General features: G+C 36.9%; 1 protein-coding gene across 1 annotated transcript in view; it reads right to left on the bottom strand.

The window, feature by feature from the left end:
• ATP10D (ATPase phospholipid transporting 10D (putative)) overlaps window positions 1-19,742 on the bottom strand; it is a 108,212-nt gene that overhangs the window by 66,715 nt on the left and 21,755 nt on the right. Inside the window, exons 2-5 of the mRNA NM_020453.4 lie at window positions 13,942-14,268; window positions 11,102-11,296; window positions 3,556-3,760; window positions 1,130-1,215 (exon numbers count right to left, since the gene is read on the bottom strand). Coding sequence (NP_065186.3) covers window positions 1,130-1,215; window positions 3,556-3,760; window positions 11,102-11,296; window positions 13,942-14,231 — 776 coding nt within the window. The 5' untranslated portion in view covers window positions 14,232-14,268. The remainder of the gene's footprint in view (window positions 1-1,129; window positions 1,216-3,555; window positions 3,761-11,101; window positions 11,297-13,941; window positions 14,269-19,742) is intronic.

Raw genomic sequence — 19,742 nt, 5'->3', positions numbered from 1 at the left:
TGATGCTATAATAAATTGTATGTTTAAAAATTTCAATATCTGCTAATTATTAGCATATTAAAATACAATCGATTTTTGTATCTGGATCTTGTTTTCTACAACATTGCTAAACTCATTATTTCTAGTAGTTTTTTGGAGATTTCATCAGATTTTCTACAAAGAACATTATACCATCTGTGAATAAAAGATAGTTTTACTTCTTTCTTGTTTGATATCTTTCATTTCCTTTTCTTGCCTGACTACACTAGCTAGACCTTCCAGTGTAAGCTTGTCTTGTTCCTGATCTCAGGGGAGAAGTATTTCATGATTAAATATGCTGCTGGCTCTAGGTTTTTCATGGGTGCCTTTTATCAGATTAAGTTCCCTTCTACTTCTAGTTTGCAGGAATGAAAGTTAGATTTTGTAAGATGCTTTTTCTACATCTATGAGATGACCACCTAGTTTTTCCCTTTTGATTTGTTTAATATGGTTTGTTAATATAGTACCAGAATGGTGAATTACATTGTATTATTTTCTAATGTTAAACCAAACCTGATTTTTGGGGAATAAGTCCCACTGGGTCATAATATATTATCATTTTCATACATAGCTGGATTTGATTTGTTATAATTTTGTGTGGAATTTTTGCATCTATGCTCATGTAGGATATTGGTCTTCTATTAAATGTCTTTATATGCTTTTGGTATCAAGGTAATAGTATCAGGATAATTCTCATTTCAAAAAATGATTTGGGAACTTTGCTCTTCTCACACTGTGAAGTAGGTCTAATTGTCTTCTCTTAAAAATCAGGAAACTGAGGATCAAAGTGGGTAGATAACTTGGCTCAAGGCCATAGAGCATTCATGGGCTGATGCCTGAAATTAGGTAAGGACCCCAAATTCTAGCTGCCCTGGCAAAGGGGATATGGATGCCACAAGATACCTCCAGAATGAATATTATATGTGTATGTGTGTGTGTATAAATACTTATTAAATAATTAAAATAAGCCAAACTATTTTAGTAGGTGGCTAAAGTTACGACCTTTAGTGATTTAACAAGGGTATAAGCACAGAAACACTTTATCAAATTAAGTACGATTGCAACACACAATTCCACTTACACCCACAAATGTTCATCATGTATTACTCACAGGAAGCCTCGGAATCTGCTGAGGTCATTGTTTGGGCTTTCACATTCTATCCTACTGGAAAACTTCTCAGGATCAACTTCAGAGTCCTAAAAATATTTTTTGAATCACAAAATAAGAATTCAAGGTTAAACCCTTAATATTGAAGTGTTTTATCACTTTCATCAATTCTTAAAATAATGCTAAGCCTTTTTGCAATGAAGTTCATATCATGAATTTCCCAAAGGAAGGAAAGTAGAGGCATAATCATGTGATCCATATTTGGGATCAGAATGGTCCTAGGGCATTATTAAACATCTGCAGGTGATGGGAATGACTGAGTCATTTACCGAAATCCACACAGGACTCCCCAGAAGAGAGCTTATACTTATAAACACCTTTTTATCAATAAAGCACTGAAAAACTGAAAATACTTTTGTTGTTGGTCTTTAATCACATAAGTGGTTTTTGAGATTAAATGTATATGTGAACACTCCGAGAATATATGCATTTGATCTCAGCCAAATTTTATAAATAAAACATTTAAAAATAAACTAGACATCAATATCTATAATATTTTCTAATGGATCAGACAGATAATTTCAGAATTCTTTATGAAAACAATGAACAAATAAGCAAAGTGCCTTTGTAGGACATAGCTCCTTTAAGGTATGGATTCCCCTGAAACAAGCCACATCAACCTTATTTCATTACTTTTATTTTCATATCCATTTGACCAGTAAGATAAATGCTATTGATATTGATATATCATAATTAATAAGTATATAATAGGAAACATGAAAATGTGAATTATATGATATGATTTATTTTCTAATGAGCAATATCCATGGAGTTCTTTCGACGCACTAAAATCTATTATGCACTTTAAATATATTAGCTAATTTCTTCTTCACAACTCCATGAGGTAGGTACTAAAATAATTGGGTCTAATTAACAGATGAGGAAAGAGACACAAAGAGGATCAGTAATTTGCCAAAGTTCTCAAAACAAGAAAGTGTTTAGAGCAGGATTACAATCGAGGTCACCAGATTCACCCTTAATGAATGCACAGTGTGCTGATTAGTATTAGACTGGTGCAAAAGTAGTCATGCTTTTTGCCATTACTTTTAATGCAAATATTAATTGCTGATTAATACTCATAGTGGGTGTGTAGTGGTACAACAGAACGTTAAGTAGTGCAGGATTTTTACCAATGTCTTTGGTACCAGACTACTTACAGAAGTGACAATGACAGTAGTCTAGGAGGCATATCAATCACAGAGGATCTAAATGAAATCCATAGGTAGAGAGGTGGGCCCAATATGACAAGATGAAATTTACCAAAGATAAAGGTATTAGTAGGCTAAACCACTTTTTTTGGTTTCTAAGTGTAAGACGGAGTAACCCTGACTTAACAGTAGTTTGGGTTAAAAAAAAAATAGACCGAGCGCAGTGGCTCACTCTTGTAATCCCAGCACTTTGGGAGGCCGAGGCACATGGATCACGAGGTGAGGAGATCAAGACCATCCTGGCTAACACGGTCAAACCGTGTCTCTACTAAAAATACAAAAAATTAGCCGGGCATGGTGGCACGTGCCTGTAGTCTCAGCTACTCAGGAGGCTGAGGCAGGAGTATCATTTGAACACAGGAGGCGGTGGTTGCAGTGAGCAGAGATTGCGCCACTGCACTCCAGCCTGGGCTATAGAGCGAGACTCTGTCTCAAAACAACAACAACAACAAAAATCATTAAATTGTAAAATACTTCATCTCAAATGCTTCCAGAGAAAGGGGAGGGAAACTATTTAGACACTATATATGCTGTTTTCATACATAGTGAAATTCAAATAATACATATGAAAACATATGTACTATTTCATTTGAATCCTACAACAATGCTATAGAGTAGATACCATCATTTTCATTTTAAGATAATAAAACTGAGGCATAAAGTGTTTAAATGACTTGTCCAAAGTCTCACAGTAAATTAATAGCAGAGTTGTGATTCATTTAAACCTATGTCAATATAACTTCAAGGTTTCTGTTTCCGTCTGCACAATACTGAGAAGCGTCTAAAAGCTATGTAGCATGAAAAGCTGCTAAAGTTTTAAGCTTTGGTATATAAGTAATTACAGATTTTAGAAATAATGATAACTAAAAATAAGATACAAAGTCTAAGTTTAAGAAAAATAATTCTGTTAGGTTCCTTTAATTCCATTCTCAAAAATATGAGTGCTACACTAAAGTGTGTAAATTCTGAAGTCATTTTATCCTCTTATCTAGAAAAGAGTATACTTCCACTCATATCTGGAAGTGAATGAAACCTTCTGGGATTCTATTTCATCCTGGTGAAAATGAATTAAAAATCTCTTTATCTGTAATGTGAAAATGAGCTCAGTCATCTTCTGAAAAAAAATGTTAATAAGCCACTAACTGAGAACATATGACTTACCTGTTCTGCATATCCCCGAACCACCTGCCTCTGTTTTAAATTGCTCTCTCCATCAAGACCAGAAGTCTCAATGTGACAGATTCCATCTGGATCAGTGGAAAAGAGTAGTACCATGTCTGCAGGGATGACCTCGTTGCAGGAGAGGCGAATAAAGTCCCCAACAGTAACGTCTTTCCAGCATCGGTCAATGTATTTTTTCTCTTTCCTGTAATTAAAAAAAAGTTAAAAAAAAAAAAGAATATCAAGTGAAAAATACATACAATGTTTTTTTTAAAAAATTTTTTAGCGTATAATTTAAAGTATATATTAAGTATTAGGGTAAATTTTAATCTATTAAATGCTCAAAGGGGCCAGGCAAGTTGGCTCACGCCTGTAATCCCAGAACTTTGGGAGGCCGAGATGGGTGGATCGCCTGAGGTCAGGAGTTCCAGACCAGCCTGGCCAACATGGTGAAACCCTGTCTCTACTAAAATACAAAAATCAGCTGGGCATGGTGGCACGCACTTGCAATCCCAGCTACTTGGGAGGCTGAGACGGGAGAATCGCTTGAACCCAGGAGGTGGAGGCTCCAGTGAGCCTAGATCACACCACTGCACTCCAGCTTGGGCGACAGAGCTGTCTCAAACAAACAAAAACAAACAAACAAAATGCTAAAAGGGAAGCCGCAGAATTGGCAACCCCTAAATTCCACAAATGCTTCACCTGAAAATTTAGTTACTGAGCCACTGAAACATATTTCTCAGCTCTTTCTTCCTGTGGGATTTTGAACCATTATGCTGTTTGAGTCTAACTCTGGAATAAAATTACAATCAACATTTGATGGGCTCATTCAGATACAAAGTAATTCCTTCATGCTGCTCTGTGGTCAGATACCAAGGATCTGAAGATGCATAAGACACATCATCTGCTCACAGCACTTCCCATCAGGCAGATAGGATGGGTTACCATTATGCTCCACGATACATTTTCGTTAGGGTAGAATGAGGACGTTTGTATAGTAGAATGTCATTTTCCCTAGGGTAAAATGAGGACATTTGTATAGTAGAATGTCATGTGTCATGTTAGCTAGTTAGGTGGCATTTCACATATGATGCCACCAACAAAAGTTAACAAGGTCTGTCTTATTCCTTCATTGTCTCCCAAATATCCATAAAAAACTAATATTTGTGACAAATATAACAAAATACACTTATTTTATTTCATCAGATTAAATAGCAATCACACCTTACACAAATACTTTAACAAATTCTGCCATACAGAATTATATCAGCTCTTTCAAGAAATATTTAGCTTAAAAGGCTACCTAAGAAGTACATTTTCAGGACATACCAAATGCACAAGGTTGAAACCAACAAAGGAAATCTTTGATTATCTGAAGGGTTTATTGGTCCATGGAGAAAGGCAAATCAACAGTTTATTTTGTCTTTTCCAAACTTTTCCCTAGTGTCTGTGCATATCAGTTCATTCTTCCATAGAGGCAGGTAACAGAGCAAAGATAAAAAAGGTAGGCAGGGGTATTATTTTGACAGTTCGGTCCTCCATGCCATATCTAGGAGTAGGAATTTCATTCCATAGGAAATGGAGAGTAACTAAAGGTCCAGACAAAGAAGGATGTGACCATACTTCTGTTTGCCAACTCCTGAGACAGAGTAATGAATGGATTTTTGGATGGCAGTTTATTTAGGAGTATGGCCAAAAGACCAACGGTAAGTTATTGAAATAATTCAGGGGAGGAATGAAGATGGTCAGAATTAAGGCAGTAGCGACACAGATACATAAAAGATGAAATCAAGACATATTAGGTACCGGAAACAAGTTTTTGGACTTACTACAGGTAAAGGAATTATCCAGGGTGACACTATGGTTCCTAACGTGTACTATGAGGTGATGGATGGTGCTGTCACAGGTCTCAGATTTTAGAAGCAACTGGTTGTATCACAGGTGAGATAACTTCAGTTTGAAAAGCTTTTATTTGAAGTATCTGCCCAGCAGTTTGAGGGTCCTGATCTGGAGATCATGAGTAAAGATTTGGAAGTCCTAGGTACATAGATGGCAGTTGATTCCAGGTAAGGATAAGGTTTCTCAGGGAGTCTTCAAAGTGATAGTAAGGTGAAAGAAGACCCGAGATAAGTGGTGTCTCAGAAATCAAGGAAGAAGGAAATTTATAAGAGGGAGTCACAATAGTTGAAAGCCACAGAGGAGTCCTGTATAATAAAGACCCAGCTGCCTACAGTATTTGGCTGTTAGGTCTGGTGGCCTTGGAGAAAGTTGATAACGTGAAATTGTTGATTGGAAGAGTGAAGAAGAAAGTGTAATCTCTGTGAATCAGGGAGTAATTAGAAGTTACAGAGGCCGGGCACGGTGGCTCATGCCAGTAATCCCAGCACTTTGGGAGGCCGAGGGGGGCGGATCACAGGGTCAGAAGATTGAGACCATTCTGACCAATATGGTGAAACCCTGTCTCTACTAAAATACAAAAAATTAGCCGGGTATGATGGTGCATGCCTGTAATACCAGCTACTCGGGAGGCTGAGGCAGGGGAATCGCTTGAACCCGGGAGGTGGAGGTTGCAGTGAGCCAAGGTTGCGCCACTGCACTCCAACCTGTTTTTGAGACAGAGCAAGACTCTGTCTCAAAAAACAAAACAAAACAAAAAAGAAGTTACCGAAGTAGAATATTTCCTGAAGGTTACCTATGAAAAGAATAAGGGGTGAAGGTAGCCACTGCCAGGGAAGGTAAGTCAAAGGACAGTAAAGACGAGCGAACTGGGCATGCACATAGGATGCAGGGGAGAAGCCAATGCAGAAGGCAAGGTGGAAGAAAAAGGAGGGAGAGGAGATGCTGGTTGAAGCTAGAGAGAAGCAACAGGAATGAGATGAAAAATACAGATGGAAGGATTACTGTTACAAGAAAGGGAATTCCCTCTTCATCTAAGGTCAGAAGAAAGTAGGTAAAGACAGATGGTATAATTTGAGGTACATAATTCATGCTTACTGCTCTCTACTTTCTATCTGAAGAAAGCCAGGAGGAAATTTGCTGAGAACTCGTGAAGGCCCAAAGAGAGACAGATTTTGACATTTGGGTTAGGAATTTCATATTCTTGCAAATATAAGAAGTAACATTGCTCTAAGGAACAAGTTTCTTTCTCTATATTAGAAGAAAACTCAAATGAAGTCACTTTCACATTCAAATTCACTTCATTTTTCCCCATTTGTAGCATGTACCAAGATTTAAACAAAACAAAACACTAGCTAATTTTCCCAATCACTGGCTAGCTCAGGTCTAGAAACATATACCGATATTAATATCCCAGTTACCATGTTAGGTGCATAGTACAAAATACACAAAAATGATTAAGATAGGGTCCCCACTCTAGAGAGGTTATGGTCAAAATTTGAAACAGAGACACAAACAGCAATTTCCTAAAAGGGAGCTGTCTACAGGCTACTATGGGGGCAAACAGGAAGGGCACTGGGCCTTGGAGGAAGTGATACCCGAACTGAGTCTTAAAGGGTGTTCAAGAATGAATCAGGCAAAGAAAGGTGAGACAGCACATCAGTCCCAGTGGAGGAATAAAGAAGGCTTCAGAGAGCACGGTGGGAAAGCAACCACAGGTTAAACCACAATGCTCACAGCCACATTTAACTAGCCTGGAACATTTACAGTGTTGGGAGATGGAAACATAAGGCTACATTTCCTTTCCTGATATATAATTAAAACTAGTAAGAGGACTTTCTTCTTTCCCCAGAGCCTAAATGCACAACTAGAACTTGTTGCATCTCCTTGGTGGTTTGTGCTTGTGTGTGACTCTCAATGACCAGGACACAGCATCCACAATCCCTCCTTTAGGAAAGCTTCTAGGCCCATTTTGTTTCTTATAAGTTCAGTAGCAAACAGCTCTGCTACACAAGCATTGGGAAAAGTTGGAACTAATACACACTGAACGATTAACAGTGATTCCACTAGGATGGGAGCTGGTAAGGGACAAAAGGGAGAAGTAAGAATGAAGGGTGGGGAATGTGGATGCCTACTTCACTTTATCTTTAAAGAGAGAAAGGGTAGGATTATGAATTAATTATTCTTTTTGGTATTTTTAGTATGTTTCCAATAAAACACTGAATTATTTATAATAAGCAAATAATGAATTATCATTGGGCACAAAATCAGCTAAGATTTATTAGATGCTTTACATATATCAACTTATTTAATTTTTGAATCAATGTTGTGGTTGGTATCATGAAAACAGGACAGCCCCACTTTTACAAATTAGAAAAAATTGGCCTTGACAAGTTAAGTAACTTGTTCAATGTTACACAGCTCTTAAGTGGCCCTGTAAATTGAAACAAGGCAGGTATATCCAGAGTCTACCCTCTCAAATACTAGAGTTTACTACCAGCTACAGTCACTTCTGATAACCACCAAATAAAATGTGGTTTAATTGTGTATTTTCAAGAAAATTTGAAGAATCTAAAATTTTTGTTTCGTAAAGTGTGTTACTAAGGTTAATTATCTTAGATGGCTACTGAAGTTCTCATTTTACAAATCATGAAATTCTATGGATTTATAAGATAATCCTAAAATGTTAACTAATATTTTGAAACTTCTAACATCAACAACATGGTGATTTTTAAAGGTCAGAAAATAATGTACATTCCTTGATGGCAGACATTGTATCTATTTTTAGTTTAAATCCTCTAAGTCTCTCAGTGCTTACCACATAGCAGGCACTCAGATTTGTTGAATGATTAATAGTCTTATTTTCAAGACAGTTTCATTATGTTAAAACAGATTTTAAAACCTTATAAGTGGCCCCTATTTTAAGGGAAATCTTAAGAAAGTCAGGTTTTCTATAATAGCTTATTCTAACTTAATTGGGGGTATAATAGAGTTTAAATGATTAATTTCTAGACTAGTGTTTGTTATTCCAAATGATACTTTTCTATAGAAAATTAAGCGCCTTGTGAAACACCACCTACTACAAAAAAGAACCAAATTATCTGCTTAGAAATGTTAATATGCTTCTTCCAAAAACTTGCTAAATAGCCCCCATAATTTCACCCTAAATTTGTGGAGAAATAATTTGTAAGTTGATTTCTTTGTATTTCATATACATTTACATTAGCATATTTAAATCAACAAGGCATGGTTTTATATCCCATCTTTATTTCTTTATAACCTTATAATAATTGTTCCAGAAATGATCTGGGGGAAAAACATAAGCACTATTTCTTCTACAATACCAAACAAAAGCAAATTATATTATACACAGATAAAAACACATAAAATTACCTGAGCCTATTAAGAAACACAAACATAAAGGAACATCTTAGAATGGATATTAAATAACTGACTATAATACTGCATTTCATCTTTAAGTTTATATGAAAATCAATCTGGACTATGTCTAAAAGGACACCTGAGAAAAAAGTTATACCAGGTCTTCCACTGGGTAATTTTAATATTTTAAAAATTGTGCAGTGTTTTCAGGAGTTCTCAAATGTTAATGAAATGACTCGATGTGACAAACATAAACTCTAGCAAATAGTCATTATTAACCTATAATAATAATCATAACGGCTTTTACCTAGCACTTGGAAAAGACTAGGTGCTATGAAGTAAGTTTTATTATTACATTCATAATACAGGAAACTGGGTGTTTAGCTGCTTTTTGTAAATTGCCCAAGGTTGCACAGCTAACTGAGAGAATCAGATTAAATGTTGTAGAACAACCTAGAAAAGCAAATAAACACACACTATCAACTCCAAATTGCAATTAAGATCTGTAATTATTTCATTCATTTGAGACAGGGTCTCTCTCTTTTGCCCGGATTGGAGTGTAGTGGCCAAATGTTGGCTCACTGCAACCTCCACCTCCCGGGCTCAGGCGATCCTCCCACCTCAGCCTCCCAATATCTGGGACTACACGCACACCCCACCATGCCTGGCTAATTTTTTGTTGTTTTTTGGTAGAGACAGGATTTTGCCATGTTGCCCAGGCTGGTCTCAAACTCCTGAACTCATGCAATCCAGCCACCTCAGCCTCCCAAAGTGGTGGGATTACACGTGTGAGCCACTGCACCTGGCCTGAAATTATTTATATATTTGCATTTGTATTCAAAAATATATATAATAAGCATTCTTTCCATTTGCTAAATTTGACATTCACTGGGTAATCTTAAAACTGGCCAAATTCTGGACTTTGTTCATCACATAATCATTGTAAAGTATTGTTTCTTATAGCTATTTTTTGAGGCTAGAGACTGTACCGATATTTTAGTTCTCTATCTCTGGTATATAATAAGCATTCAAATGTTACTAAATTATTAATAGAACTGTTTTAGTCAAATGCTCTATGCCTTTAAATGAAAACCAATGACTTATACCATTATTTCATTTTAAAATACAACACATGTGTTTTTCTGGTTTCGTTTAGACTGGACATGAGTATAAGAGAAAAAACAGAACTAATTTCTCATTATCCAAGAAATCTCAAATCATCTTACAAAAGATAAATAAAGTTCTTTTCCTTGTTTTCTTGATAGATCATAAAAACAAACATTGTGAAAGTCACTGAAGAATTCTAATAATGAACAAAATACGAATTCTGCAGCTTTCAGATTAAATATCACTTCTTCAGAGAAGCCTTTCCTAACATTTTCCTCTTTGGATCACATAAGATTGAAGACAAGTTATATTTGTCTATACGGTTTACTAAGTATTAACTTACATCTAAGAATAAAAACCCAGGAGCTGCAAATAATATACACTACAGTTTAAGACTCACCTTCACTGAGTTTATTCTTGGCTACATAGACTCTCTATTTCATAAATACTGAAAATACAAGTCTCCAACACAGCAAATATGCCCCTAAAAAGACCTCCTCCTATGAATGCTCTCTGTTGTTGCTGTGATGGGATGCTCTAGTTTTGTGCACACCAAAAAAGAATATTCTCCTCCTTTTTTTTTTTTTTTGAGATAGAGTCTCACTCTGTCGCCCAGGATGGAATGCAGTGGCTGGAGTGCAGTGGTGCGATCTCGGCTCACTGCAACCTCCCCCTCCTGGGTTCAAGCGATTCTCCTGCCTCAGCCTCCTGAGTAGCTGGGATTACAGGCACCTGCCACCACGTCCGGCTAATTTTTGTATTTTTAGTAGAGACAGGGTTTCATCATGTTGGTCAGGCTGGTCTTGAACTCCTGACCTCAGGCGATCCACCCGCCTCAGCCTCTCAAAGTACTGGGATTACAGGCGTGAGCCACCACGCCCGGCCCTGAAGTTTAATTCTTTTAATTCCACTTATACATGAGTTACAGAAGCTTTTGCTTTGTCGGCTCCTGGGTTGACAATGGCTTATACGTTTTTGTTTTCCTCTGACACTTGAATTAAATTCACCATAGGACTTTACGAAATATTAGTTGAAAACAATAGCAACAACACCAACACCACCACAAAAGGGTCCTGGTCACACCTAAGGAGAAAAAAGTAACATTCTGCATATTTCTCAATGATACATACATAGTCCTTAGCAAAGGTCCCATTACACTTACCTACTATAAACTTTAGTTATTAAATTATTGATCTGTTTGTCAATTTTGTATTTCCGATAATCTTCCAGGCCATCTTTAATTGCGATAATTGTAAGGACCACCACCAGAGGCAACATGGTGATTTCCTTTTGGAAGGCTTCTACCAAAGGTACCCAGTTCAGGACAACTAGGAACAGGAAATATAAATTGGCAGCTCTGCAACCCAAACACACAAAGGGAGGTGTTAAGAAGTTACTTCAAGGACTGATGTCAGAGGCAAAGTACTATATTGTTTTTCTGTAAGTTTCTATTAGTAGATTTTGTATGTTACAGAATATAGAACTAGCAGAATACAATGAATCTTAATGAACTATTTATTACCCTGCTAGACATCTGGCTTGTGTCATTCTTTAATAAATGTGAGATATCAGGGCTGGGTGTGGTGGCTCACGGCTATAATCTTAGCACTTTGGGAGGCCGAGGCGGGCAGATCACTTGAGGTCAGGAGTTCGAGACTAGCCTGGGCAACACGGTAAAACCCCGTCTCTACTAAAAATACAAAAATTAGCTGGGTGTAGTGGCCTACGCTTGTGGTCCCAGCTACTCAGGAGGCTGAGGCACGAGAATCACTTGAACCCAGAAGTCGGAGGCTGCAGTGAGCCGGGATCACACTACTGCACTCCAGCCTGGGTAGAGTAATCAATCAATAAATAAATAATGTGAGATATTATTTATTAAATATAAAATAGTAAATATTTGAGTGGGACGGTCTTGAGCACAATAAAAAAATAGAAAAAAGCACAAGAGAAAATACTATTTTCTTTTTAAAAGTTCATAAAAATTTAGAAGAAATTCAGAGTTCATGTGGTATAAAAATTAATTAACAAAATAAAGATCAACCCTCTAGCCTTTTGTACATCCAAACATTAGATTTAAACAAGCCTCAAAATTGAGTAGAAAAGCCTATTTCTTTTCTCTTGTGACTAACTCTTCTATTTCTTCTTTTATGCTATTCAGAACCACCTTCTTCAGGAACTTCTTCCATTCTTCTACTTTATATATTCAAATACTTCTCCATGGGTCCCTAATTTTGGGCCATATGGTAAGTTCAAGACACCCTTTTCCTTAAAGGAGAAACAAAATCTTAATCCTGCCATTACATTTTGATAACATATTTTTCCATTGACCATGAAACTTCTCAAAAGAATAATCTATATATACTTCTTTTTTGTCACCTCCAAATCTTTTTACTCTGAAAATTTCTTTCTTAACCCTTTCTGCTACTCTGTGGCTTCAATTCTTTCCAGGTGGACCACATCTAAACCTATAGCTCTAACCTTGAACTCTGTTTCAGGTTTTTATTCCATTGGGTACACTAGATTCCAAACTCCATAAAAGAATGAAACACACATAGGGCTACATAGCCATTAATTCAACAAATTCAAATCTGTCCTTTAAACATAGCCACTATTTAATAAATGCATATGGAACATATATAGAATGAATGATGAGAATGAATGTATGTGGAATGACTAAAGAATATGGAGAATCTCTTTACTTGCATTGGCGTCTTGAATACATTTACAAAAACAAAATACTCTTCCAGCCAAGGTTCTTTTTACTCTTGTTTTTCATTTTTCTGTTAGTACTTCTGGTCATCACAGCTCAACATGTTCACATCATCTTTTTTACTCCTTTCACTGAATGTCTTACACTAAATCCACAGTATCTGTAAGAGATCACCCTTCTTTTCATTCCCACATTGTTCCAAGGTCAGGTCTCCATTACAATTCACTGGGATATATACAATGTCTTCCTAAATGTTTTCTCTGCCATCATCTCTAAGTCTTTTCATCTACCCACCACACTGCTTCCATAGTGAAATACTGACGTAAGCATGGTAATTGTGCCTGCAGACTTGGCCCTCAACTCTTTATCCTGATAGCAAGACCTCTTTCCTGGGTCACATCTATCTTTCTGACTTTACTTCCTGTTGCTCCTCAGCACAGATGTTACATGTAAGTCAGAGAACACTATTTCCCAGGCTTCAAGCAAGCCTTTTATGCTACTGCCTTTATGCCATTATTCATACTCCTTCCTCCATCTGAAATATGCTTTGCTCACACCTCTGCTTTGAATATCTCACCCACCCTCTGTTATTAAGTCAAATGTCACTTCCCCTTCTATTGCTCCAGTTACCATTATTATTTCTCTTTTTGAGGCTTTCATTCTATTTGACAGCCCTTTATAACACTCATTGCATTCCCTATGTCTTTTTGTTTTATATATGTATATATTGTGTTTCCCTAGCACAACTGCAAACTCCACAAGGAGAGGAGTGGCACTCACACTTCCATTTCCTTCAGTGCCTAAACTCACAGGAGATTGTCCATGAATGAGATATTAAGTTGAATTAGGTCACTGTTTCACCTAAACATCTGACATCTGCACTGGCTTCAGAGCTCTATTTCCTCCTATTATCAGTAAGAAAAATTTGAAATTAAAATGCGCGTGGTTTCATGGAAAGAACACTAAAGCAAGAGTAAGAAGACCCCCAGAGGCAGCCCCTGGTCTGCTACTTGACATTGGCATGACATTGGCTAAACCACAGTCAAGTCATTTCCTAACCTATAATATGTGAATTACAATATCTTTTCTGGTAAAGAGAAAACACCTTTCCAATTGGAAAGTGCTACGTGAATGGGAGGAGTCATCATTCCACAACAGATTTGTATCAAAATTGTCAAGGATGATGTCACATGTCTTAGGTTTAAGTAATATACAGGGTTATGAAAATGAAAAATATGTTATATATCAACTAGAATGATATTCTAAGGTTTTCTTCAAAAATAAAACAGTACCTGTGAAATTGTTCAAATAAATTTCTTGGCACAAAATTCAGAAGTGTGTACTTTGTTGTTCGTATTCGATTGTTCACATAGGCTCCGGAGAACTTCTCATACTCATCCTTGAAGGGCTGGATGTGGGGAACAACAATCCGGTGCCTTCCTGACAGTTTAGGGGTCTGAGAGGACTTGCGCCCACAGGCGAGCAACGAGGAATAGTTGTATGGCCCTGAATCATCATCCCTGGTTGCACCTCTGATCAGCCGTCGCCAGTGATATCTGGCCCATTGGAGAGCCTCAGTCATATCCAAACTGTGGTAAGATCCAGGTTGTGTAGCTGACCTGGCAAACAAACAAAAACCACACTTCCATGAGCTTCTGAAACGTCTCAAAGATAGTGAAATTTTAATATTTTTTCTATACCAAATAAATATATGACCCAATGGTTCAACATGTAAGGGAGAAAGTAAAAGTAGTCTTTAGAACTCCATTTTAACCAAATAAAGCATACATCTTCTGCCTCATGGGCTAAGCATCTGATCATGTTGCTTAACAAGAGACAGCACCTAAAAGGCCATTCCATAACTTGAAGCAAACAATTTGGGCTTAATTTGTGCAAGTCTCTTAACTTCTCTGATCATCAGTTTTATCATCTTTGCAATGGGCATAATGCCAGGCATGTCAGGAAATTGTTTTGAGGACTAAATGAATAACAGGTAAGTCACATAGCATAAAGTCTGATAAATCATAGGACATCAAAAAAACCCATTCTATGTGGATTACAAAAATGCCCACAAATTCTTCCTATCTCTGCAAGCATAACTCTCTGCCAATCAAGAGGTAGAGTCTTTCTCTACCTGTGGTGTCTGGGCTTGGCCATGTGCCTTGCTTCAGCTAATGTAACACTAGTAAACAAGACAGCAAATAGAGGCTTGAAAAGTGCTTGTTCACTGGAGCTTATTCTCTCTCACTGTTCTAGGAACCACTGTAGCCCACACCACATGCCTCAGTTGCCCCATTTACCACCATAGCCTCTATAAATACATAAATAACACCACTGACTGCCAACTGACCACTAACAAGCGAGTGTGCCCAGAAGGCACAAATTAGAATAAAGATGTCTCAGCTGAGCTCAGCCCGACTTGCCCACCCATCAAATTATGAATCAATAAATGTTATGTCATTAAGTTTTGGGGTGCTTTGCTACAAAACAAAATCAAACTGATAACATATTCCCTTATTTTCCTTATTTCTAAGGTTTCCTTATTTTCCAAGAAATGCAGCCCTACCTGGAGTTTGTTAATCAAAACAAAATGTGAGTTTGTTAATCAAAACAAAAATAGGAAAGAAAGGGGTTCAAGCAATTCTCATGCCTCAGCCTCCTGAATAGCTGGGATTACAGGCAGACAATCACTTTTGATGGGAAGAACAACAGCCTCTGAGTATATGTAGTTGTGCCTGGATATTGGACCCACAATAGATAGCCCGTCTTATCATGAGAGAAAATATTCATGTCAGCCTCATCGGTTTTATACTAATAATAGGAACAAGAAAAAAAAACAGTTCTTTTGGATTTTGGCCTCTAAAATATTTATTTATAGATAACTAAATCAATGAAGATTGACTGGCCAAAATAACATTTACTATCTCTTCAATATAATTTTTTAAAAGTCTGCCTCCGAAGTATATTTGAAAAGCTGGTTTTTACTTCACCAAGCATACAAAAGTGGCTTGGTTCTTTTAACTGGCTGCTCACAATGGCAGCTTGAGTTATTAATGTAGTTCATAACATATCTAGAACTCTCCCCCAGAATAAGAACATAAGATAGTGCTTTATAAGTGAATCAATAGATAACAGAAAATACTGAACATAAATACTAAGTGCTTTTCATTAGTTTCACATAATGCACATTAGGTTACCATTATGACAAATGTGACTTTTTTTAAAAGGTTGAAATCAGCACAATTTGATTTATTTCTGGAAACTTTAAAAGGAAGCATTCACTTGCCATTAAATTCTTACTAAGACATAAGAATGTTTATCCCTCTAGTGTCCACAATCTCATACAACAATCTAAATCTCACTTCCCTTTTTAAATTCTGAAATACAATTTCTTGAGAGTCCAAACAGGACTAACTAAACAAACATGAAACAAATACAGGAGGTGTTAACTTCTGCTAATTTGTGGTGTGTCTGACTAATAACCTCACGCTAGCAAACATACTTACTGGTTCACAGAAACAATCAGCTTTTTATTCCACAACCCAGACAAGAACTACATCTTTCCCCAAGTCACTCAGTTCCTAAGAAACAAGCCCATAACGACTGCAAAACATTTCATTGCAAAAGTATTTCTAGGTCTCCTTCTCTTTAGGACTTTTCAATATCTTTAAATGTACATGAGATTCTCTATTTACTCCCACATTGCCTTTCTCCTTTATTCCTTCTTTTCATTTTCAAGGAATTTTGGTGAAGATAGAATTAGGGCTGGCTCACTGCCCTCCATGGCCCCCTTCTAGAGCCTACAAGAGTCTCTCTCCTACTCTCCAAGGCTGGGCAGCTCATCATTTTGTAAGAACTCTCTCTTCAGCACTGTCATTCTCCTGAAAAGTGACCCTTGGATCAGAGGACAGATTTAAGCTAGACAGAGAAGTGCTTTGAAATGACTGAGGAGAAAAGCCTAGGCTTGGAGGTAATTAACATATGATGAAAATCCTTTCAAATTGCTAGTTTAAAATTTAAACTCTTATACTAGGCAGGAATGACCAAGGATCTATTTAGTCATCCTAGATCAGAGGCTTTTGAAATGCGTTAACTGCTCTCCCAGTAAGAAATACATTCTATGATGCAAAGTAGAATTTACACACACACACACACACACACACACACACACACACACACCCCTGAAACAAAAGTTCTATGAAATATTTCTTACCCTTACCACCTGCAATGCATACAGGGATCTTCTTTCTTCTCTCTCTCATATTAGTACTAGTTAGGATGCATTGAATTAGTTTCAAGATCCACTAATGTTAGTGTACATGTTGGTAAAAAGATACTGATAGTGTGTGGCTTCACACAAAGCTGAAATTATACATGGAAATGGATAGATCCATGTTCCTAAATAGATCCACAACCCCAAATGCAGAAAACAGACTATTACAGAATACAAAATTTCAGCTACAAAGGAGTAATAAGTTGAAGAGATCTATTGTATATTACGATGACTATGGTTAATACAGTAACAATATGTTGTACACTTGAAAATTGTTAAGAGAGTAGACCTAAAGTGTTCTCACCACAATAAAAAGTATGTGAGGTAATACATATGTTAATTACCTTGAGCTAGCCATTCCACAATACATCCACATATCAAAACATCACATTCTTCACCATAAATACATACAATTTGTATTTGTCAATTCAAAAGTTTTTAAAACAAAATTTTCCCCTTACAACCCTTTCTCCCTCAGTCAATAATGTTATACACAGAAAGCTTTTCCTATAGAAATAGGTATTTGTTCTACAGAGAGCTAAAGATAAAATATTTATAAAGATCTTTTAAATTATTTTATTTCAGTGGATGTTTTTGTAAACGAATAAAAAGAAATAATATTTTCAATGTTTGAAAATATCAGATTTAAAAAAGAAGAAGAAAACAGAATCTTATGGTAGAAAATTACTGAAAGACAGCAGTTGGACAAGAAGGCTCAGGGGAGGGCAGCACTGTGCCCACAGTAGTCAGGAAAGAGCCTTTCACTCTTTCTCTGTCACTTCCAACAAAGTTAAAAGTATGTTAGTACTTGGAGAAGCCTCTGTTATTAATAAAGCTCCACATAAATATTGAGGAAAATTTCTTTAAGATATGATAGGAAAGCAAATCAGTAAGTCATACCTCATCAAGCGTTATCACAAATCATAATATCTTAAGGCTTAGACTTCAGAGATGATTTAACACAGTGGTCACAAACCATTAGTCCTACAGCAAAATTCTACCCAATGACTTATTTTGTATCAGAGTGTCGGCAAGCACATGGTTTTGTTTTATAAACATAAATACATGTATACACACACACATATAAAAGCAAGATTTTAAAATAGAGATAAATTCACATAAAATATTGATAATTGGTTTTTCTTAAAAGAATCAAGGGAATGGTGGGCACACATCTTCATATGGTAACAGAGGTTACTATGGACCTTGACTCCAACCCTGCATTTTGCAGTTCACCCGTTTTAAATGAAGGAATGAGCACTTTGCTCACCACTTTTTGACAAATCACATTTCTTCTACTCTGTAAGTCCAGGCTCAAATATTAGCTGTACTACTTAGTAGCTACTCAGTCTTCTAACAAATAAAATGAAACACGATTAATAGTCAAGGGACATGCTATAAATAAACAATGCTCATCCTCTTCCCCACTCTCCTGTTTAAGTGTTTCTCAAGCCACAGATAAGTCAAGGGTGGGAATCTTATACATTGGGCTTAGGTCCAAAGCTTTCAATTTAAAGTTGTCCAAGTAAATGCTCAGTTCAATGTACCTATTAATGCCTGAGAAGTAGCAGCATTAGGTAGGATACAAACAGAAAACCGAACAATCAAAAAGACAGGCATGACATAAAGTGACCTTCATACTACCTAATCTCATTCTTCACCATTCTCTCCAAAACTCATCCCAACAATGTTCATGAACGAACTGTATTCCACTTGTCCTCTGTTGCCCAAGACCCCCTGATAAGAATCACTTGGGGCCCCTGTTAGTCACAGTCTCCAAAGCCTCTCCCCTGGAGATTCTGATTTAGAGGATCTGGAATGGGGTCTATGAATATGTAATTTAGTTAGTACTCCCAATGAGTTAAGGAGGTTGCAAAGCATAGTGTACACTTTGCACCTCTCCAAATGCTGCCCTCTCTTTCTGGAGGGCTGGTTAACCATATCACCCACTCACCACACCAGCCTCTATTCATCCTTGAGACTGTTTTAGCTTGACCACGGAATGAGGGAGATTGGGAGGGATCCACACAACAGACACCATAAGGTGTTCTCTGCTCTGCTCCCATTAGAACCCTGAGCATGGCTCATATGCACTTGCCATAGTGTGTTACAGATGGCTTTATTCTTCAAAGTCGGGAACATACCTAATTCCTCTCTATGCATCTGTCCAGTGCTTGGCCAAAGTTAGATGATATATAAATGTCTGTTGATCACTGAATTTTATAGAAAAGAACATAAAGACATCCCATTTCCTTTTGCATGGCTCAATCTGGCTTTTCTGCCATTAGAAGTAGGAGTGTAAGATCTAATTTTGAGAAAACAGAAGCATTCACTTTTAGCTTGTGATTGTATCATTCACCTTTATTAAGAGCAGGAATCTGCTTCTCCAGGCCTGAAAGACTCTTTCAAGAGGGCATTATTTTCTCTTCTAGTGTATTTCTAAAACCTGTAAGCAGCATAGAGTGATAAAGAGCACAGGTTCTGGAGCCAGAGGCCAATGTCAATTTCTGGCACCCCAATTTGCCAGCTTTACTTGCTCAAAGGGTTGCTATGAGGATTCAATGAGTTAATATATAAAAAGCACTTAGCACTTGTTTGACCCATAGTAAGTCCTAAGTAAGGGTTAACTACCATTGTGACTTTTTACAAAGTGTTCTCTCTATAATATTTATTCATAAATATTAGCTGAGAATTTGTGTGCACAGTATTGATACTAACAACTGTATCAATTATTCATCTATGTTTAATTTCTTAAACTGCACCTCATACTGCACCACCTGGTCACACTCTGCTTTAGTAAGTCTGCTCTTCATTTAATGG

Source organism: Homo sapiens, chromosome 4 (genome assembly GCF_000001405.40).
Source record: "Homo sapiens chromosome 4, GRCh38.p14 Primary Assembly".
NCBI classification, from domain to species: Eukaryota; Metazoa; Chordata; class Mammalia; order Primates; family Hominidae; genus Homo; species Homo sapiens.
This window is presented reverse-complemented; position numbering and strand designations above follow the sequence as displayed.